This window comes from Homo sapiens, chromosome 7 (genome assembly GCF_000001405.40).
Source record: "Homo sapiens chromosome 7, GRCh38.p14 Primary Assembly".
In the NCBI taxonomy this organism is placed as follows: Eukaryota; Metazoa; Chordata; class Mammalia; order Primates; family Hominidae; genus Homo; species Homo sapiens.
This window is the reverse complement of record NC_000007.14, coordinates 87,679,749-87,703,984: the sequence shown is the minus strand read 5'-3', so window position 1 is coordinate 87,703,984 and position 24,236 is coordinate 87,679,749. Positions and strand designations below refer to the sequence as shown.

Genomic DNA, 24,236 nt, shown 5'->3' with positions numbered 1-24,236 from the left:
CGTACCTTTGCACTCCAGCCTGGGCGACAGAACTAGACTGTCTCAAAAAAAAAAAAAAAAAAAAAAAAAACCAAAAAAAAAAAAAAAAAAAAAAAAAAAGAAAAAACTGATAAAGCTCACCTAAGATGCAAAGGGGAATTCACACTGCATATTTTAAAAATCTATAGTTCAAAAATTAAAAAGTAAGTAAATGAATTAAAAATTCAGTAGTTTGAGGAAACAGAGGTCAAAGGACAATAGTTGGGACAAAAAAGACATCTGTTAATATGTAATAACAATAGGATTTAAATATCTGAGGGAAAAATTTAATTAAAAAAAGAAAATCTATAATTAATTTACAAATGAAGAAATTTACTGGCTTAAATACGTGAGACAGAGAAGAAAACTGATCCAACCTGAGAGAGTTGAAAGATATTGAAGCAGGAAGTTCCTTGTTGCTACAACCCCTTGGTTGAAGATTGGCAGGAGGGAGCAGTGGCTTTAACAAGTGAACTTTATAGTTATAGTCTCAAAAAGGTGACAAAAATCATAGCTATTAACTGTATCCAAAAGTGTACTTTCATATTAAGGAGCTAAAAATGTTTTACCTGTGTTTCTAATTATGTCACTACATTTAAACATTATAGATTTTGGTTTTTAAAACATATACTCAGTTCGTGCTTACAAAATATTTAATTTGAACATATCTTCATCAGTTTTGCTGAACAAAAATTTTCCAAAAGAAAAAAAAAATCCTAAATAAAAAGGATGCAAGAACAAAAAACTTGGAAATTATAATTTGGAAAGATAATTGTTATACTTTCGGTTATTACATAGACACATAATTTATAATTCTATAATCGTGAAATAATGAATTATGTCTTCATCTTAAAACTGTAAATATCAATTTTCAATCTTTATTTTCTACTTAATGTTTCATTCTGTAATTTCTAAATGTCAAAATAATAAAGCTACTCTGACAATTCAATAAAAATAAATACAACTACTACATTAAAGCTGATACCTGAGTTGAGTTAGTTATTTGATACCTGAGTTGAGTGAGTTAGTTGAGTTAGTTAGGTATACTCAACCTTCTGTTGAGTATACCTTTTCCAAAATGCTTGGGACAAGAGTATTTCAGATTTTGAGTATTTTCTGATTTTGGAATATTTGCATTAAATGGTCCATTTAGCATTTTCTTTGAACATCATGGTGATGCTCAAAAAGTTTTAGTTTTGAGATCATTTGAGATTTCACATTTTCAGTTTTGGGATGTTCGATCCATTTGACTTAATAGTTCAGACATTTTATAATCCTAAAAATTACTGAGGACCCCAAGGAAGTTTTATGTAGGCTATATCTACCAAATTTACTGTATCACAAGTCAAAACTGGAAACTTAAATATTAGGTAATTCAAAAATAATGAGTTGGTCATGGTGACTCAACGCCTGTAATCCAGCACTTCGGGAGGCTGCAGCAGAAAGACTGCTCGAAGCCAGGATTTCTAGACTAGCCTGGGCAACAAAGAGAGATATTATCTCTACAAAAAATTTAAAACATTTGCCAGGCATGGTGGCATGCCCCTGTAGTCCCAGCTACTCAGGAAGCTGAGGTTGGAGGATCACTTGAGCCTAGGGGTTCTAGCCTGCAGTGGGCTATGATAGTACCACTGTACTCCAACCTGGGCAACAGAGCAAGACCCTGTCCCTAAAAAATAAAATAAAATAAAATAAAATAAAACAATAAACCCATTACCTGTTAACATAAATAACACATTTTTATGAAAAATAACTATTTTTCCTAAAAAAAAATTAGTGAGAAAAGTATCTCTGTTTTTTTTTTTTTTTTTTTTTTTTTTTTTTGAGACAGAGTCTCGCTCTTTTGCCCAGGCTGGAGTGCAGTGGCGCGATCTCTGCTCACTGCAAGCTCCGCCTCCTGGGTTCACGCCATTCTCCTGCCTCAGCCTCCCAAGTAGCTGGGATTACAGGTGCCCACCACCACGCCTGGCTAATTTTTTATATTTTCAGTAGAGACGGGGTTTCACCATGTTAGCCAGGATGGTCTCGATCTCCTGACCTCGTGATCCGCCTGCCTCGGCCTCCCAAAGTGCTGGGATTACAGGCGTGAGCCACCGCGCCCGGCCAGTATCTCTGTTTTACATTTTTTTCTAATCTCTTTAGTGTCTTTACAAGATAATTAGATATCTGCTTCTGCATTCCATCTGTAACAATGTGTTGTTTTGGTTGAAGTATATGAAGAAAATCTAGCTTCACACAGATATATGGTTGGAAAGGGAATCTTTTAATAGTCTTTTCAGATAAGTGTAGATATTTTCTTTTGTTCTAGATCAAAACTCACTAAATGGTAAGTTTCTGTAATCATATTAATGACTTTTTCATACTATAGTACATTAAATCTACTGACCTACCTTGCACTTTGAATTGATCTTTTTACCCATACATGATTTTGTAATTCCACGAACTGATCATTTGGAAAATACAAGTTATGCAGTTCCATCAAATGTTGACACATTTCATTAAATAATTTAAAAATACATTTGTTGATATCAACATCAATGTTTTAAAAAAGCTTTTCTATATTGGGAAGCTATGAAGCTTAAGATGGTGAACACAAGTTTCTAAAATTCTAGTTTTTACTTAAAAGCTTTAATTTCACCATTGGCAACAAATACTGTCAGCTGTTTCCTTGAAGTAATAGGCTCACTTCTTTCTTCTTTTTTTGAGAAAATATCTGTCAAATGCCTAAGTCCAAAAAATTATGTTTATAAGTTTTTCTTTTCAGTAAAATCATATTACATTAAAAAGTATCTAGTTCAGCTCACAATTCAAAGAATTGTACAAGTGTTTTTCTTGAAGCAACCATCATATTTCAGTATGCTGCAGAAATGCTTTATGCATACTTCCCATTTTATTACTCAGGATATTAAAAAGACAGATCCTCAAAGTTGAGATTTAATAAGAATTAATGTTTCCCGCACCATCATGGTCATTCTTAAGTTGAAACTGCCTTTAAAAGAAAATACTGAGTGCATGGTGGGGAAGAACTCAAGACTGCTTGCACAGTTTGATGTCACTGCATTAATTCGTGCTAAGGTTCCAACAGTTTTATCCACCATTGTGTCTGCATTGGCAGTGCAAATATCAACACAGCGAAAAGGCAAATAACAGGTTGATATTATATAAAAATATTTTTGACATTTTGTACCCATTAAAGAAAGGGTCTTGGACATCTTCAGGGTTCTGCTGAACATTATTTGAGAGCCACTAGTTTAGATAATTCAAGAAATGTAGAAACATCACAGAACAGGACGTATTTTATTATGCTTCTTAAGAAAAGGAAATTCATAGTAAGTAGCTTCACACCTTCCTGCTATTCCAAATACATGCAATGAAAAAAAAAATAGAAACGAGTCTCTGACCAATGTCTTACCTTAGCTCTAGAAGAACTGACATTTTCCATATTTTCAATGCTGCAGATACAATTCTGTGAAACTTTCCGGCAAGCCACTCTGATATAGTCCCAGAAGCTACGAGGACTTTCATAACCAAACCAGGTTACTTGACCTTCAGGAGACAAATTGCGATATAAAATTTTAAAAAGTAAAATAAAACTAGACTTGAAAATGCAAGAACAATAAAATTCTGAAAAATAAAGGTAATATAGTGAACTATAATGGCAAGGGCACCACCAATCTAGGTGTCAAAAAGCCTCAAATCTAGTCCTATTCTATCTTTAACTAGTGGTGTTAGTTTGGAAAATTTACTTAATTTACTTAATGAGTCTGGATCATAGTCTTAACAATAAAATCAAACTAAATGAAAGGGACTAGACACTAGAAATATCTTGCCATTTAACATCCTATTTGTCTAATACAGTCGCTTAAATAGCACACGGGAACCTTCCTGCGCTTCTAGTTAAGCATTAATAAATGTCACCAATTGAATTCTAAACCTTTCTCTATTTAAAAAAACAGAAAAAAAAACCCCACCACCATAATTCTTTTCTCCTCTTCATAAGGATACTTCAAAAAAGGTATACAATGTGTTGTTTACTTTATAAATAAATAAAATCAATTAGCATCCTATATTCACTAATAATGCATAACCACCTACCCAACCATTCTCATCTATAAAGCTCCCCTTTAACTGTCATTTGTTTGCTCTCTTCCAGTTAAGAACTCATGAAAAACTTGTAATCTTTCAGATTTGGCTAACTATGTATCCGTTCATGACCAAATGTTCTATTGTGCATAGGTTATATTAGTATTAATATTTCTATGGTTGGGCATGGTAGCTCATGCTTGTAATCTCAGCACTTTGGAAGGCCAAGGTGGGTGGATCACCTGAGGCCAGGAGTTCGAGGCCAGCCTGGCCAACATGGTGAAACCTCATCTCTACTAAAAATACAAAAACTAGCTGGGCATGGTGGTGTATGCCCATAATCCCAGCTACTTGAGAGAGGCTGAGGCAGGAGGATCACTTGAACACAAGAGGTGAAGGTTGCAGTGAGCTGAGGTTGAGCCACTGCACCCCAGCCTGAGTGACAGAGCAGGACTCTGTAAAAAAAAAGAATTCTATACAGGACTCTGAATATTAGTCTCACAGGAAACATTTTCTACACTCAGTATTTTTAAGTGGAATATGAGAGACATCTTAATACTTTCTTTAGTTGTCTAGTATGACTAGTCTTCCCTAGGAAAGTTGTTTAATCTTCTTGTAGAAAGATTTGCTTTCATATTTTGAAATAAGTGCTTTTTTCATCATGATTTAATTATTTACTTTAAATCCTCCCTTCCTCAGTAATTACTTCTCTACAGCAACATCAAGAAGTGTTCTTGTCAGCAAGCACCATTTTAGGACCAATGTCTGAGATAATATCTGAGTGGTTCCAAACCATGGCAGAACATTAGTGTAACTTGACTGCTTTTAAAAAATACTCATGTCTAGCCTCCCCACAAACTGAATAATCAAAATCTTTAGGGGAAGATGTAAGCATTTGAATTTTTAAAAATCGCCCCCTAGTATTTCTAGTGATGTACTTATTATTAATCAACCAACAGAAATCCTACAAGTCATGATAGGTAACTTCTATTCATTATTCAGGGTGTTTTAAAGGCCTCTTCCAGAAACCCATGTATGATCCCAACAGCTAGTCCCTCTGTTGGCACAGGACCCTGTGCTTACTTCTCCTCAAAAGTATTTCTTTACTTGATTATTTCACATATTAGGCGGTAAGATCACTAAGGCAGGAATTTTGTCTTATTTTAGATCAATCTCTAACACTTGACACAGTGCTTACTTGGCTCACAGTAGGCACTCAATAAATATTTGTTGAAAAATTAAATTTATAAATCAGCACAACACAGATAATCTTAAATGCAATGAACACAAAAACTTAAATTTAAAAAAATCCAATTATCTTTTTATAGCAATAGTTTTGATAACAGTCTGCTAGTGTTTGCATGATAGATTACAAACATCAAATATTTTGCACAAATATATTTTTCTTTATATAAATAAAAACAAATGCATCTATAAATCTTTATTCTAATAACTATATAATTCAATGTCTCTTTAAAAATAAAATTTTGCAGCCGGTGCGGTGGCTCACGCCTGTAATCCCAGCACTTTGGGAGGCCGAGGTGGGAGGATCATGTGGTCAGGAGACCATCCTGGCTAACACGGTGAAACCCCCTCTCTACTAAAAGTGCAAAGAAATTAGCCGGGCATGGTGGCAGGCACCTGTAGTCCCAGCTACTCGGGAGGCTGAGGCAGGAGAATGGCGTGAACCCGGGAGGTGGAGCTTGCAGTGAGCCGAGATCGTGCCACTGCACTCCAGCCTGGGTGACAGAGTGAGACTTCGTCTCAAAAAAAGCAATAAAAAATTAAAAATAAAATAAAATTTTGCTACTTACAAATAGAAATCTACAGACTTCTCCCTCTTAATCTCTCTCCATCACTTTCTTCTGCTCCCTCTCTTCTTTTAACTAAAAATTTCCTGATATAATGCCTCAATATAGTTTGTCTCTAGGGCACTTTTCATGTCATCAATTTGTTAGCCGTTTGGAGGGGAAGCAGGGTGACTGGTGGTTAAGAACATGGGCTTTGAGTCCGGTGGACCTGAACTAGATCACTTTCTAGCTATGGGATCTTGAAAAAATGACTTAGGTTCACTTTATGAGTCTGGGCCTCTTCTGTAAATTGAAAATAACGATAGTACCTACTGGATAGTACTGTTGTAAGGATTAGATGTGATCATGTATGTGCAGCAAGTAGCAAAGAGTCTAGTGCATACTAAATTCAAAATAAGTGTTAATTATTACTACTGTTATTACTGTAATCATACAAGCAGTTACAGGGACCAAGCTCTCCTTGCATCACAAAATGAAGTAGGAATGAGATGCAAAGTTAAATTCTTCACATTACTTGCTTTGGAATCTAGAGAAATCTTCCAAACTTACTCCCTAATCCAACTTTACTCCCATCATCAACCATTCTAAAGTTACTTCCTCAAATGTTTCTAACTTCAACTCATTTTCCTTGACTTCTATTATCTGGGATCATTCTATAATTTCAAAATGAGAGCTACAGCTGCCAGACTTCCCTCAAGAAATGAAGTACTACACACTGGAAAGAATCTTAAGGAAAGAGTATCACCAAGATTCTGTGGTGAGTTTAAGTCTCTCTAAAAAGACAATATGGGAAACAGAAGTCAGAGAAATAGGCAAGGGAAAATACAACATTGTATTAGCCAATGGCAACCACCTATAGTGGTAATCCAAATAGGTAACCACAGAGAAAGATAAAGCATAGGTTGTCCATGAACAAGAAGATTTTCCGTTTTAAGGAAATGTACAAGGGTCCAGGACTTTGGCATAGGACATGGTTTGCTTTTCTGTAATGTTATTTTAAATCTTCTCTTTAGTTTCAGGTGGCTGAAGAAAATAACTTGTAGGATGTTTCAAAGTAGAGCTGTTGAAAACCAAAGAGTATTTAAAAAGCCCTGTTTTGGAGGAGAGAAAACAGAGACAGAAAAACTAGAAAACTAGAGTTAGGTTAAGCAGAGAAGGGTGGGCACTAAATCCTTGGAACTCCTGCTATAGGTAGGGCACACTATCCACAAGGACTTTTACCCAAAAGATAATGAAAAGATTTCCCAGATTACAAACTGAGAAACTAAGCAATTGACAGGACGGCATATCATCATGACTTTCAGGGCCATAAATCAACCACCAAGATCTTCATAACACATTTATCTGCTCTACAAATTAGATGTGAGGATGACTTGGCTTGATTCTGGCTTCCTTCCTTTTCCATGTGCATCACTTCCAAAGTGAAGCTCTTAATTCAAGACACTGAATTTTTCACATTCAGAAAGATATTCTTCAAGAGAAGGTAGATTCTCTTGCTAGAACCTCCAAACAAGCTTTCATGTAAATTGCCTGTATATCCTAGGATTTCATCTAAATAATTAATTTCTGCATCTACAGAAAGGTTTAATTTAGTTCAATATAATAGATGTGTTCAATGAGTTATCTGCGATATTATTTGAACATCACTTTTATGTAAATACAGATTAACTGCTAGTAAAAGTCTATAACCTGTATTTAACAGGAAAATTTAAAAACAAAGTTACAAGCTACTCATGCCTTTAAAAATAAATATTGAAGTAATAAATAACCACTCCTCAAATACTTTGACTTCCTTTAAAAATAACCACAAAAGACAATCATATAGCAAGAAACTGACTACTCTATATCTTGAAGAAATGTTATTCCAAAGATGAGATATGCTGTCATTAACAGAATTCCCTTTTTAAAGTTCTCAATGAATATAGGTATACAATATGCTTTCAATTATAAGTATTCTTGGAAGTTAACATTTTCCCAATGTTAAACAAGCTTTTAAAAACATATTCCCATCCCATCAATCCAACTCTCTTCATCTTTAGGCACAGAAACAAATGGTGAAAAGTTTGCTAGACTAAAAGACAATCTGTTACTGACCAGCTATGTGATTATCTTTCCAACTAAATTGCCTCATCTTTAGGACCTAAAAATTGCCTGTGATCTCTAGGGTCCAATGTTACTCTAAAATTACTCTTCTATACTCTTTAAGTGAGATATCTATTTACACTTTGCAATATGTCTGTGTTTTGTTTGTATCTTATTTCATGGCCAGAATAAGACCTTCTAAGAACAGAAATTAATTTTTCTAAAGTGGTTCTCTACTAAGCAGTAGCTGACACAAGATCTTTTCATAATACAAGAAAAATATAAATGAATCTGTTAAGTGACTTAATTCCCCATCTTTAGTAATAGTGCTTAGCTATGTAAAAAGTGAATGATAAACTGATTTCACAAATGAAAGTTCTGTTAGTTAAAATATATCACCTACTTGACAATATTAAAGACTATTACCTTTGAGCTATTATTCATCTAGACAATCAACAAAAGACAAGATAATCCTACCACATTTTAATAAACCACTCTGATGTCACTGCAAAAGCTTTCAGATACTTAAAGAAAATTGGTTCCTTTAAAAAACTTGTGGAGTTCTCACTTTAAACTTTGTAGCAGCAATCCCAAGTTTCTTACTGCTAATTTATAAAAGCCAGTTTAATATTATCCACTATTTTATCAAACAGAGAAAATTTCCATTTCTGTAAAAGTTCAGAAACTTTTCCTTTAAAAAGGTACTATTATTAGTTGAGGTTTATATTTATTAGACCATCCAGCTTTGAAGGTAAAATTATGACACTGATCCATTTTCTAACTAAAATCCCAAATTAATGTTCTAAAAAATAGAACAAGTATAAACACTTAAAAATAATTAGTTACACTTTAAATTGAATCTGAGGAAGTCAGAATCTACATTAGATACTCAATTGTACTTACATTGCTAGTTCTACATGCTACTTACAGGACACTTCAAGTATATCATTTAGGCACTAAGAATCAGTTACTCATCTATAAAATGTAACTATTATCCTTTGGTATTGACAATGTAATGTCTAGTTCACTAGTAAGGAATTTATCACAAACATATACAAATATCTAAAGTATGTGTCTATGCCATAACAATTAGTCAACTCTTAATTTTCCAAAACAAAAAGATTAAGATGAACAGGTTCAGCAAAAATCTGAATATTGAATCAATTTAATAGGCTTTTTTATCCCAGTAATTTTACTCTCTCTGAAATGGAGAACAAACGTTTTGTTTTTTCCCTTCCACCAGCATTATTAACATAAGGCTTAAAGTACTGGTGGAATGAAATCGTACATGACGGCTGAAGTCCACACAGAGAGCTACACATAAATGCGTACTCCTGAAGAAATCAAGTATAATGTGTGTCAGTAGTGATTAAGACTATAGGTACAGAACATAAAACAGATAAAATTGCTTGAAAGGATTAATTGTGGGAATTAGAATTAAGGAAATGACATTTGTTTTTTACTTTTTCTCTTTCGTTCTACTATTTAAAAATAATGACTATATTGCTTTTCTAAGCAAAAAATACAGAAAGCTAGATCATTAAGTACAAAGGTCCAGCAGTGTTTTGCATATAGCAGAAACTCAATTAAAGAAAAGGTTTGAATAAGTAAATAAAGGCATGCATTCTACCTGGGAGAAAGGAAACTAAGAAGTACATTCCCACTAATGGTTCAAGAATGAAAAAGCAGTTATTGTTTATGGTGCCACATCTATGTTTTACTGAGACTGGAATATTCATACAGCTTCCCTGAGCTGCTACTTCACACGTAATATTTATTATTATACAGCACTTAAAAAGTAAATAGGTTATTATATTGTGTGGATTTACAAGATTTTAATTTTAAAATTAGCATAAGCATACTTGTGCTCTCTGGATTAAAAAAAAAAAACAAAAACACACAAAAAAGAAGGCTTTACAAAACCCATGCAATGTACTAAAAAAGATCACTTAACTGATACAGCCCTCCCCCGAAAGTCAATTCCATGCTCCCGTGCAGCTCAGTGGCGGGAGACATCACCAGCATAGAGTACCTTGAAGAGGTATTTGGAGATGAGCCAGCCATCTGCAACTTTGGGAAATCTCTTTAAAAAAAAAATAACAACAACAACACACAGATATTTAAGAAACCTGCCATCATGTTTACAGTTCCAAACTGAATAGCCCAACTAAGATGGCTACATATAATTTTGAAGCAGTAAACACTACTTTTACCTACTAAATAAATGAACTCTGTTAAGATAAATATGAGCTACACTTGGTAAGTAAATGAAGCTAGTTCCTTGTAGCTTATTGTATTGGAGAGGCTAAGGTGTCTGTAAGTCAAAAATATGTGAGCAGAAATTGTTTCCTGTTTACTTTTACCTCCATCATTCTTTCTCAGATGTAATAAACTGATGAGTAGAATAGACCTCAAAGAAGAGCAACAGCTTGACTGAACTTGCTGGCGATGCACCTCAGAACTTATAAGATTGGTTAGGAAAAAAAATCACTCACTTTGGAACTATATGGCTCAGAAAATTTCCAAGTTTAAAAATAAATACACATTTTTAAATGTTAACTTTTCTAAAAGTTATAAACAAATATATTTTGAAATGTAGCCATTCATTTTTTGCCTAAGAATTGTTAAAACTTTTATGTTTTCTTCCCTGTAGAGAGCAGCACTTAGATATTATATAAAATGTTGGTCAGTTTAACCAATGTTGACTAAATGCCTACTCTATCAAAAACACTGTTTTATTTGTTACAGCTTCTAACTCTTATTTAACAATCACCAACTGAAAAAGTACTAGAAATTTCTGCTATATTTTTCAGAAATTGCTAGTATAACAATATGGGAAAACTCCAAAGCCAAATTTCTGAAATAACATTCCCAAAAAATAACATTTCCTTCTCTCATAGTCAAACACTGAAATCTCCAATAGTACATGGTCCCACACCTTTCCAAACACTTAGATCCTTTATAAAACCAATAAAAGACAAACACATAGAGCTAGTAATGTGACATGAAAAATGAAAGGAAGGAGATACATACAGCTGTGCCACATCTACACATCTGCCATTCACTCTATCCTCTTACTTCCATAACATTTTAAACAAATATTAAATTTGGAAAAACATATCCAAAAGGATCTATAACTTGGTACGACAGTTAAAGCTCATATTAGAACATAATGTTCTTGCTATAACTACAACAAACAAAAATGAAATTTCTCAACATTGAATGTAAATCAGAATAGAATGCTTTTCATTGCAAATAACATTAATTCCTAATATTTAAACCACATTTACTATCTCTGTCCTAAAACAAAGTTCTCTATATTATTTGTGATTTATAGATCTAAAAACTTATCAAAGTAAAAACAATTTCCATGAAAATCTGACTTAAAGAAATTTTACTACAAAAATGTACCAAATAAGCATATCATGACCAGATTTATGGCACTTCTTAACCAACCCCTTATATAAGGTGGGAAACAATTACTGAAAATATCACAAAACTCAATTTATAGGGTTTTTGTGTTTGATTGTTTAAGAGACAGGTTCTCACTTTGTCACCCTGGCTGGAGCTCAGTGATGCATTCATAGCTCGCTGCAACCTCAAATTCTTGGACTCAAGCGATCCTCCTGCCTTCGCCTTGTGAGTAGCTAAGACTACAGGTGCGTGCCACCAGGCTCAACTAATGTTTTTATGTGTTTTTTTTGTAGAGACCAGATCTTGCTATGTTGCTCAGGCTGGTCTCAAACTCCTGGGCTCAATGGATTATCCTGCCGTGGTCTCCCAAAGCATTGGGATTACAGTTGTGAGCCACCATGCCTGGCCTAGATAATGTTGGTTATTTTTTTAAAAAGCTGTTAGTATGCTAGCCTCTGTGCCCTGATTTTCATTTTGGCTGTGAAAGACCATGGGAAAATTTTCTTAAATTTTTCACTTATTTGTAGGATGTAATTGCTTTAATTATAATTTAATACGATTAAACCATTCTAGACAAGTTAAAAGCAACCAGAAATATCTGGACCAAACAACAATCCACTATATTCCAAGTTATCTAATGTAGTCAAATTTCAACAACTCTCATTTTACAGATGAGAAAAGGTAGGCCCAGAGACAAGGCTGCCAAGACCCAGCAATCGGTTTTCTCTGTCACTTCAAGCTGACCTACTCCTTAGGAGATAGGCAGGACCTGACTGATGGAGGATAATTAGTCAGTTGTATTTCCTGGTTGGTTAGAGTTCTCACTGACAACCCCAGAAAGAAGGGGGAAAAACATGAGGTAGTGAAACATGTAATGGGAAGGAATATAAATATTTTTTATATAAAACGTAAATCCTTAGGAAGTAGAAGTGCTGCTCTTTAAATAAACAAGCGTATGACAAAGCTCACATTATTTCAAAGTGGCCCAGGGCTTGTTTGTAGAAGGGGTTCTTATTTGAGATGGAAACAAAACCTTTTGTTATAAAATATATAATGTTAAAAGAAAGTGAAACAGTATTTAACACTATGTAGCTTAGAAAAATACTTGAGACAATACCAAAGAAACCAGGTTCAGAAAGCATTTTGCTCAAGAACAAAATGCATTCAAATACAACAGTATAATTATACCATATAGTTATTTCAGGAGTAAGTTTCTGAAATTTCAGGCAAAGGCAGAATCAACTCAGAGATGGATATGCAATAGAAGAATGCTTCTATACTGAATACTGAAGACAGACAGCATTTCCTGACCCAAGAAGTATGTACTTTTCAATATCAAATAATTGATTCATAATTTTATTAATATTGAAATTAGCCCTCACACAGAAAAGACTATTGGCCACTGTTTTAAACAAATAAATTTTCCTTGATAAGACTGAATATGTTTCTAATTCATGAATATGATATTTATTCTTCTATATTTTTCATGTCAGCCATGTTCCAACTTTGTTTTCTATTCATTTCCATTTCTTTGATCATTGAATCACTATCGTGATTGATATAATCGATGAATTTTAACACTTATGCAAAAAGTAAACCTTTAGCTTTTGCTATATTTATTCTATTTTCTCTCTCTCTCTCTGCATATATATTTTTTTCTAATAAAGTTGCAGGTAGATACCTTTATATAAATGTACCAAGATGGAATATGGAAAAGACTCCTAGATAAAATGGTCTGTAAATGGATTACCATTTGTAAAACAAATAAAACTAATTATAAGTGATCAGATAATAATTCAGATTTTTCACAAGTCTTGTCTATAAATTGGCAGTATCATATAGAACATATTCTATTACTAATACTGTTAAGGCGAGTTGCTTATAATCTTTCACTTTGTATTTACATAGGAGGAAAATTTTTCAGCGAAGCAACAGATAAAAATGCTACAGTACTGTAATTCAGCTAACAATGAGACTATCTTTTATACAGCATTTTTCATCTTTTAACAGGTTCTGAAGTTAAAATGTAGTACTATATATAACTTTTCTTAAGCTTTAAAAATACTGCTTTAAAATGCCATTTACAGGTAGGTGGTAGGTATTAACATCTTAGAAACAAAGTATTTGTTCATTGATTAAATAATTTTTAAAATACTGAGTACCTAAATTGTGCTAATCTTTTGAAGTTTATCAAGTGCAAATCTTTTGAAGTTTAAAAGTCATAACTTTAAAGAAAAGAAAATGTAAAAACAGTTTAATAAAATAAAAATATAGATCACATGAACAATGGCAATCAACTAAACAGTGACAACTATTAATGAAAATACTCTTCATCAAATTAAAGTATTTGAATTTATGGATAATAAGAGTAATAAAAATATTTTAAATTATATCAAATATATCTGTACTACAGGGTCATCTCAGGTTCTTATACCAAGAAATCTAAGCCCCAGGCTTAGTGGCTTACACCTGTATTCCCGGCCCTTTAGGAGGTGGAAGCAGAAGGATCATTTGAGCTCAGCGGTTCGAGATCAGACTGGGCAACACAGTGAGACTCTGTCTCTATAAAAAATTTAAAAATTTTTAAAAAAAAATCTATGACAGCTATTTAAACATTCAAAGATTTAAAGTAAAAATATAGTGCAAACACACATAAACATTTGGCATTCAAAATTCTAACATACTTCAGTCAACTCTTAATTAGGCTACATATTAGAACAAATAATACATCAGAATGGGAATTTATCATTAGACGTCTAGCAAAGCAGCTTGCAGCGATATTGTTCACCTTAAGGAAAAGAGGTAACAATACCATAAAATGATTTTGAAAAGGACAACTCATTGAAATTAGAACATCAGAAAGATGTAGGAACTGGGATTATTATTATGATACCCTCCTAAAATGAACAAAGTCCACTAAATTGTGTAATCTTTCCCCTCTTCTATAAAATGAGAAATATTTACTTTCTTTAGATGATTAGCACAATAAAGTAATATTAGCAATATTAGCTAATTAATAATTAGCTAATTAGTAATTTAGCAATATTAGCTAAAGTAATATTAGCACAATAAAGTAAATATTAGCGCAATAAAGCAAAATTGTTGAATTATGTAGCAAAAATAATAAAGAAAGCAATTTTCCAAGATTAAAAATAAAGTATGACTTGCTCATTACAAGTACTGCAAATTGCTCTATGCTAATTTGCAAAAATCACAAGGTCAAACTGGAAATGTCTCATTAATTTTCTGACAGAAACTCAAAGGGCTATAAACAGATAAATGAACATAAACATGAATTACCATCAGAGATCATCAATTTCTGTTAGACATGAAATTGGATTAATTGTAGACTAAAACATTTCTTTAACTCTCTTATTATAAAGAAGACATTCAAAAAAATCTCAGATAATTTTATCAATAATAGAATTTATTTAACTCTTTTCATAGTATCATCTTCTTTGTGATAATCCCCCTTCCCCAGAAGCCAAATCTAAATTTTGAATCATTTTATTTGAAGAGATTTTGAAAGTGATGTTCATGTAAAATAAACCTGAAAAATTCCCCAGTGTACTAAAGTTTAGAACCATTAATAAATCTCTCATTCTGTAAATAAGTAAATATTTAAATTGGTGAATGAAAATGATTCCTTGAAAATTCTAGTTTGGTTATAAAATATAAAGATCATTTTGTCTATATTTCATTATAAATAAATACAAATACATAAGATTTTGTTCACCCAGAAATACCTATAACAAACACAGTAATTAAGAATGCTACAATAATATGACTCAAACAGAAGCAAGTAACCAAGTATATGAGAATTGTGTTATAAAATTTTAGACATTCAAAACAATATAAAACATTACAGAACTAAGAAAAATATTTCATATGTTTTAAAACAGAAATCATAAAGTCTCAAATGAAAAATAAGTACAAAATAACAAACTACCAACAGTAATCATGTATGAAGACTAATCAACGGAGAAAAAAGGTCACTACTGATCAAAATGGGTTTATATAAAAATTAGTTCCACATAATAAATAGTTTTTTTCCTATTTTAGGGTAATTGAAAACTCCACAGAAGAAATAGGCAAAAGTCATGAACAGAAAATGAAAAAAAACAAACATGAAAATATATTCAATTTCATTTCTAAATACGTATAAATTAACATAAGATTATGTGTATATATATGTATATATTACATTATATAAAATGTGTAGCTCTCTGTTTTTAGAAACTATGTAGTGATTATTTTCTCCCAAATCTTAAATGTATTATAAAACATTAATATAAGATTCATTTTATTCCATATGCAATTTAAAACATTGAATCAAATTTACTAAGGTATACATAACCCCGGATGCTTCGAGAATTACATGAATACGATGATTTTCTGAGATACAATATCTGCTTCACCTTTCCTGAATTTCCAAGTACATAACTTAAAAGGGTGTTTCTCAGAGTGGCCTCTCCCATTGTCTAAAAGCCAAACTCTGGTGACCTTAAGAGCCAATTTCTTATCTCTGGTATCATGTTTTGGCCTGAGTATATGGGATTTTATTGGATGAATTGTGTTCATATGTTACTACAGAAACAATTTAAGTCTCATTTTCCAACAAAAGTTGGAAAATCTTCAAAAATGAACAAAGAAAACTCAAAAGCCAAATGAACAGGTTTATGATTATCCATTGTTTCTAACAGTGTTTACACTGTACTTCAAAAGATGGCCTCATGGGGAGGTAACTGTTTATCATCTAAGTCAGGAAGAGCTTTGAGGTTCAAGCCAGAGTTCCTGAGCAATGCTTAGGTATCATAACAGTTCAATTGGATTAGAGAAATTCTAAAATGTCAAGTCACAGGAGTTCTAACTCGTTTTAAGAGTCCAAATCCAAGTCCTATCAGAAAAAAATAAAGAAATTATTACTCTTCCATCAATTTTTCAACAAATAATGACTGAGTTTCTGCCATATCGTAGGCACTGCTCTAGAGATTTGGATACACCAATGAACAAAACAGATGAAGATCTTAGTCCTGGTAAAGCTTACGTTTTAGTGGAGGTGAAGAAAGATAATAAACAATAATCATAATAAGTACATAAAATAATATGCTAGAAGTTAAGACTTAATGTAACTCAGGGGAAAGAGGTCAGGAGTGCTTGAGGTTGAAAGGAGGGGAGGTGATTTATTATTTAAAATATAGTGGAAGGGTTAAACCTCATGGAGTAGTTTTCAAATGGATGAGGGTGTTAACCATTCAGATACTAGAAGAAGTGTGCTCCTTACACAGTAAACAGCCAGTGCAATGGTGCCCTGTGGTAGAATGTGCCTGATATAGTCAAGAAAAATCAAAAGACTGATAAGGGTAGAGAACAGTAAGTTGTGGGGGAAAAACTAGCTGTACACAAATATAACTGAAAAAATATTAAGAATCAATATAAAATCTAAACTGAATGTGAGTCAGCAAGCCAAATGTTAATAAGTATAATTAGCAGATTAAATTATACGCAATTTAACAGTGTCTTACATTTAATCATTTTTTCTTTAATAAGTGCTACATTTCTAATTGACAGTCTATACTTGTCTGGTATACTCAGCTTTTTCTTTTCTTTCTTTTTTTTTTTTTTCTTTTGGAGATAGAGTCTCCCTCTGTTGTCCAGGCTGGAGTGGAGTGGCACAATCATGGCTCACTGCAGCCTTGGTCTCCTTGGGCTCAGGTGACCCTCCCACCTTAGCCTCCCAAGTAGCTGGGACTACAGATGCACACCTACATGCTCAGTTAATTCTTTTTTTTTTTTTTTTCTAGAGGCGGGGTTTCACCATGTTGCCCAGGTGGGTCTCAAACTCCTGGGCCTCAAGTGATCTGCCTGCCTTGGCTCCCAAAGTGCTGGGATTACAGGCATGAGCCACTGCACCTGGCTAACTTTTTCATTTTAATCAGTTATTTTCCATATAAACTTTACAAAAATCACTAATACATCCCATCCTCATGTCACCAAGCTGAAGTTTACAACGTTGTCTCTGATGACTTTACTGCTAAATTTCTATTTTTCTTAATCTATGTGGCCTACCAGTCAGTCCATAAATAATCAAAGTCACAGATGACATTTTAAAGAACTGTAATTTTCATTTGAGGTACTTCTATGCCTCTTTCTTGTGTAAAGCCTTCCCTCACCCATCCAAGAAAAACAGATATACTCCTTTGTGTTACACCATGCTCGTTAATATACTTCTATTATGACTTGATGACATTAGTACACACAATTATTTGTTAATGTGTCCTTATTCTACCTTTCAAGACTGAGTTTCATGTGAAAGCATACCTTATTAATCTCATATCCTGGGCCCCCAGCACAGGGCCTAAATTTGTTGTTGAATAAGAGAATGAATGAGGTAAAGAGAATAGAAAAATTGTAAGAAAAAAAATTGTGGGTGGAGGGAAGCCAAAAAAAGCAGAAAGTATACATCAAGTGTAAATTTAAGGCATCTGTTTCAGAAAAAGAACAGGGAACTCAGGTTATGATTCATTTCCAAAGCAGAGAAAAAGTAGAAGTAATACTTGGCCAAGAAAAATATGGAGGGGTGATGGTAAAGGAGTATTCCTTGGGACTTCTTTTTACTGGGCTCTGTGACAAATTGTCCAGCTTTCTAAAATAAGTGAGGATCAAGGAGTTAGAATCTTACATATTATAATCGAAAGTGGGATCCTCCCCATTTTAAAATGTTTTAATGGGAAGCAATAGAATTTGGGGGAGTTATACATTTATTCCTTGTAGTAAATTTGCTGTTGCTATGAGTTTTGAAAAATAGAGGGAGTCATGTAACCATGATTATGAGACACATAACAGTTTCATCATGCAAAGAAACTCCTTCATCATGATGCTTGTCAACCCCCACCCTGCAACCTTTAATCCCTAGTACCACTTATCTGTTCTCTGATACTACAGTTTGGTCTTTCCTAGAATGTCATATAAATGGAATCATACGTAATCTTTAGGGTTTTGCTTCTTTCATTTAGCCATAATGTATCTGACATTTATACATGTTGTTGTGTGTGGAAATTTTTTTTCCTTTTTATTACTGAGTTTGTCCAGTGTATGAACATACAACAGTTTATCCAGGCATCACATGAAAGATACTTGGGTTGTTTCCAGTTTTTGACAAAAGAGCTTGATAAAGGTGTGTAGTGCTACCTAATATGGTTTGAATTTGCATTTTCCTAATTACTAATGATGTTGAACATCTTTTCATTTGTTTACTTGCCATATGTGTATCTTCTTTGATGAAATATCTGTTCAGCTCTTTGCATATTTTAAAATTGGATTGGTTTTCATATTATTAAGGTTTTTATAGCAATTCTTTGTATATTATGCATACAATCCCTTTGTCAAACATGTGATTTGCAAATATTTTTTCCTGGTCTATGCCTTGTCTTATCATTAACAGTGTCTTTCAGGGAGTAAAAGCTTTTAATTTTGATGAAGTCCACTTTATCAATTTTTTTTGTTTAATGGATTGTACTTTTGTTGTTATATCTAAAATCTGTTTGCCTAATTAAACAAAGATATTCTACATTTTTAAGAGTTTTATACTTTTACATTTTGTGTTTACACCTATAACCCACCTTGAGCTAAATGTGAGGTAAGGAACAAGGTTCACTTTTTTTTTGCACACAGGTATTCAATTAATCCTAGCCTATTATTCTTAAAGGTTATCACTTTTCCATGAAATTGTCTTTGCATTAGCAAAATGAATCAAGCATATTTATGTGTATCTTTTTCCAAACTCTCTATTCTATTCTATTCTTTTTTTTTTTTTTTTTTTTTTTTTTTGAGACGGAGTCTCACTCTGTCACCAGGCTGGAGTGCAGTGGCACGATCTCGACTCACTGCAATCTCTGCCTCCTGGGTTCAAGCAATCCTCCTGCCTCAGCCTCCTGCGTAGCTGGGGCTACAGGCACGTGCTACCATGCCCAACTAATTTTTTGTATTTTTAGTAGAGATGGGATTTCACCATGTTGGCCAGGATGGTCTCGATCTCTTGACCTCATGATCCGCCTGCCTCGGCCTCCCAAAGTGCTGGGTCTGCTCTATTTATCTATACGTATAAGCTTTTACCAATAACACACTGATTACTGCATCTTAACAGTAAGTCTTAAAATCAGATAATTTGAGTTTCCAACTTAGTTCTTCCTTCATGAAATTGTTTTGCCTATTCCAGTTACTTTGCCTAGACATATAAATTTTAGAGTAAGTTTTATATCTACAAAAAAAGCCTTCTAAAACTTTGAGATTGCATTGAATCTATAAAACAATATGAAAAGAACTGACATCTTAACAACGAGTTTTCCAATCTGTAATGAAGAATTACCCATCCAGAATATCAACAGTATCAATGTTGAGAAACCCTGTTGTAAACTTCTGTAGATGCCCTTTAAGGAAGTTTTCTTCTAATACCTAGCTGTAAAGATTTTTTTTAACATGAATTAAAGTTGAATTTTGTCAAATGCTTTTCTATGCACCTATTAGTAGGATCCTATCATTTTTATTCTTTAGTCTGCTAATAAAATGAAATACATCCATTTTCAAGTACTGAAGCATTCTTGCATTCCAGTTTGATCTGTCAATATTTATTGAAGATTCTGATGTCTGTGTCCATGAGGTGTACTGGTATGTACAGTCATTTCTTGTTTTAATGTATTTCACTTTATTGTGCTTTGCAGATATTGTATTTTTTACACGTTGAAGGTTTGTGTCAACCTTGCATCCAGCAAGTCTTTCGGTGCAATTTTTCCAATAGCATGTGCTTACTTTGTGTCTCCCTGTCATGTTTTGGTAATTCTCACAGTATTTCAAACTTTTTCATTATTATTGTATCTGTTATGGTGAACTGTGATGAGTGATCTTTGATGTTACTATTGTAATAATTTTGGGGCGCCATGAACCACACCTGTATAAAATGGCAAGCTTAATTGATAAATGTGTGTGTTCTGAATGCTCCAGCTACCGGCCATTTCCCATCTCTCTCTTTCTCCTCAGGTCTCCCTATTCCCTTGAGACACAACAATACTGAAATTAGGCCAATTAATAATCCTATAATGGCCTCTAAGTGAAGAGTGGCATATATCTCACTTTAAATCAAAAGCTGTACACGATTAATCTTATTGAGGAAGGCATGTCAAAAACTGAGATAGCCAAAACCTAGGCCTCTTGTGCCAGTTAGGCAAGTGGTGAATACAAAGAAAAAGTTCAAAGGAAATTAAAAGTACTATTCCAGTGAACACATGAAGGAAGTGAAAGAGCCTTATTGCTGATATGAAGAAAGTTTGAGTGGTCTGAATAGAAGACCAAACCAGCCACAACATTCTCTTAAGCCAAAGCCTAATCCACAGTAAGGTCCTCTCTTTAATGCTATGAAGGATGAGAGAGGCAAAGACGCCGCAGAAGAAAAGTTTGAAGCTAGCAGAGGTTGGTTCATGAAGTTTCAGAAAAAAGCCATCTCTGTACATAAAAAAATAATAATAATAAAACAAAAAGGTGAAGCAGCAAGTGCTGATGGAGAAGTTGTGCTAACTTATCCAGAAGACTGAACTAAGATAACTGATGAAGGTGGCTACACTAAACAACAGATTTTCAATGTAGACCTAACAGCTTTATATTGGAAGAAGATGCCATCTAAACCTTTCATAGTAAAAGAAGAGAAGTTAATGCCTGGCTTTAACGCTTCAAAGGACAGGCTGACTCTCTTATTAGGGGCTAACGCAGCTGGTGGCTTTAAGTTGAAGCCAATGCTTATTTACCATTCCAAAAAATCCTAGGGTATTTAAGAATTATGCTAAATCTACTCTGCCTGAGCTCTATAAATGGAGCAACAAAGCCTGGATGACAGCTCCTCTGTTTACAGTTTGGCTTACTAAATATTCAAAGCCCATTGTTTTGATCCACTACTCAGAAAAAAGATTCCTTTCAAAGTATTACTGCTCATTGACAATGCACCTAGTCACCCAAGAACTATGACAGAGATGTACCAGGAGATTAATGTTGTTTTCATGGCTTCTAACACAACATCCAATCTGTAGCCCAGGGATCAGGAAGTAATTTAGACCCAAGTCTTACTATTGAAAAAGTATATTTCTTAAGGCTCTAGCCTCCATAGACAATGAGTCTTCTGATGGATCTGGGCAAAGTAAATTGAAAATCTTCTGGAAAAGATTCGTCAAGAACATTCGAGATTTATGAGAAGAGGTTAAAATATCAACATTAACAGAATATCAACATTAACAGGAATTTGGAAAAAGTTGATTCCAACTCTCATGGATGACTTAGAGGGGTTCAAGACTTTGGTGGAAGGAGTCATTGCAGATAACATGGAAATCGCAAGAGAACTAGAAGTAGAACTTGAAGATGTGACTGAATTATTGCAATCTTATGATCAAACTTGAACAGATGAGGAGTTCCTTCTTATGGATGAGCAAAGAAAGTGGTTTCTTGAAATGGAATGTACTCCTGGTGAAGACACTGTGAACATTATTGAAATGACAACAACAGAAGATTTAAGATATTAAATGAACTTAGTTGATAAAGCAGTGGCAGGGTTTGAGAGTATTGACTCCAATTTTGAAAGAAGTTCTACTGTGGGTAGAACGCTACCAAATAACATTGCATGCTAGAGAGAAACCTTTCATGAAAGGAAGAGTCCATGGATGCAGCAAAATTCACTGCTGTCTCTTTGTTGTTGTTGTTGAGATGGGGTCTTGCTATATTGCCCAGACTGGTCTGGAACTCAAGTGATCCTCCTGCCTTGGCTCCCAAGTGCTGGGATTATAGCTGTAAGCCACTGTGCCCAGCCCATTGTTGTCTTAAGACATTGTCATATCCACCCCATCCTTCAGCAGCCAGCACATCAATCAGTCAGCAGCCATCAATATTGAGGCAAGACCCTCCACCAGCAAAAAGGTAATGACTTGCTGAAGGCTCAGATGATTGTTAGCATTTTTAGCAGTAAAGTAGTTTAATTAGGGTATGTACATTTTTTAGACATAATGCTATTACACACTTAATAGATTACAGTGTAGTGTAAATACAACTTTTAATACGCACTGGGGAAACCAAAAATTTTTTGTGACTTGCTTTATAGCAATATTTACTTTATTGAATTAGTCTTGAACTGAACAAGCAATATACCTCAGTATGAGTAGAGTTTCCTTTTCTTGTAATATTTTGTCTAATTTTGTATCAGGCTAATAGTTTCCTTATAAAATGAGTTGAGAAATGTTATCTCCTATTTTCTGAGATGGATTGAATAGGATTACTATTATTACCTTAATGGCTGGTTGCAATCAACAGCAAAAATATCTAGGCCTGGAGTTTTCATTGTTGGAAGGTTTTAAATACTGATTCAACTTCTTTAATAGATATAGGACTATTTGTGTTATCTACTTCTTTATGAGTTTTGTTAGGATTTGTCTTTCAAGAAATTGGCCCATTTCCTCCACAATTAACTTTTTATCCTTTGAATGTAAGGTCTGTAGTCATATGCCCTCTTTCATTCCTGATATTGGAAATTTGTATCCTTTCTCATTTTCTTGATCAGCCTAACCAGAAGTTTATGAATTTTATTAATGATTTCAAGCAATCATCCTTTCATATCACCAATTATTGTTTTTGTTTTTAATTTCATTGATTTCTGCTTTTATCTATTATTTCCTCCATTTTGCTTGTTTTGGGTTTAATTTTCCCTTCTTTATTTAGTTTCTTTTTCTTTTTTCTTTTCTTTTCTTTTTTTTGAGATGGAGTTTCACTCCTTGCCCAAGCTGGAGTGCAATGGCGCGATCTTGGCTCACTGCACCCTCCGCCTCCCAGGTTCAAGTGATTCTCCTGCCTTCAGCCTCCTAAGTAGCTGGGATTACAGGCACACACCACCATGCCTGGCTAATTTTTTGTATTTTTGGTAGAAACGGGGTTTCACCATGTTAGTCAGGCTGGCCTTAAACTCCTGACCTAAGGTGATCCACTCGCCTTGGCCTCCCTAAGTGCTGGGATTACAGGCGTGAGCCACCGGGCCCGGCCCCTTTTTTAGTTTCTTAAGGTGAAAGCTTAGGTTACTGATTTCAGACAATTCTTTCTAAGTAAGTTTTTAATGTTTTAAATTTCCTTCTAAGTGCTGCTTTAATTGCATGCTACACATTTTGATACAACGCGTTTTAGTTTTTCATTCAGTTCAAAAGACTAATTTTCCTCGAGAATCCCTCTTTGATCCAAGAGTTATTAGCAAAGACTTGGAACCAACCCAAATGTCTATCAATGATAGACTGGATTAAGAAAATGTGGCACATACACACCATGGAATACTACGCAGCCACAAAAAGGGATGAGGTCATGTCCTTTGCAGGGACATGGATGAAGCTGGAAACCATCACTCTCAGCAAACTATTACAAGATCAGAAAACCAAACACTGCATGTTCTCACTCATAAGTGGAAGTTGAACAACGAGAACACATGGACACAGGGTGGGGAACGTCATATACTGGGGCCTGTCTAGGGGTGGGTGGCTAGGGTAGGGATAACATTAGGAGAAATACCTAATGTAGGTGACAGGTTGATGGGTGCAGCAAACCACCATGGCACATGTAAAGTATAATTTGTTTAAAAAAGTGTATTTTTACATTTTCAAACATTTGGTGATTTTTCAGATATCTTCTGTTCTTGACATCTAGTTTCATTCCATTACAGAGAACATACTTTATATGATTTCAATTCTTTTAAATTTGCTAAGGTTTCTTTTATGGCTCAGAATAAGATCTTTTTTAATGTTCCACTTGCCCTCGAAA

The 24,236-nt window shown here is 33.9% G+C and overlaps 2 protein-coding genes across 11 annotated transcripts in view; one reads left to right on the top strand and one right to left on the bottom strand.

Moving 5' to 3' along the window:
* ABCB1 (ATP binding cassette subfamily B member 1) overlaps positions 1-24,236 on the top strand; it is a 210,279-nt gene that overhangs the window by 9,311 nt on the left and 176,732 nt on the right. The window contains exon 2 of one of the 3 annotated variants that reach the window (NM_001348945.2): positions 2,327-2,344. The exons of the other annotated variants lie outside the window; for them this stretch is intronic. The gene's annotated coding sequence lies outside the window, so the exon portion shown is untranslated. The remainder of the gene's footprint in view (positions 1-2,326; positions 2,345-24,236) is intronic. 3 annotated transcript variants of the gene reach the window in all.
* The window catches only part of RUNDC3B (RUN domain containing 3B), a 203,899-nt gene that overhangs the window by 128,312 nt on the left and 51,351 nt on the right, over positions 1-24,236 (bottom strand). For 5 of the 8 annotated variants that reach the window (NM_001394228.1, NM_001134405.2, NM_001394226.1 and 2 more), the window contains exon 3: positions 3,431-3,564. In NM_001394228.1, the coding sequence (NP_001381157.1) occupies positions 3,431-3,460 (30 nt within the window). In that variant the 5' untranslated portion in view covers positions 3,461-3,564. Of the gene's footprint in view, positions 1-3,430; positions 3,565-10,026; positions 10,078-24,236 lie in introns of all 8 variants that reach the window. The other 3 variants (NM_138290.3, NM_001394224.1, NM_001394227.1) reach the window with 1 other exon arrangement.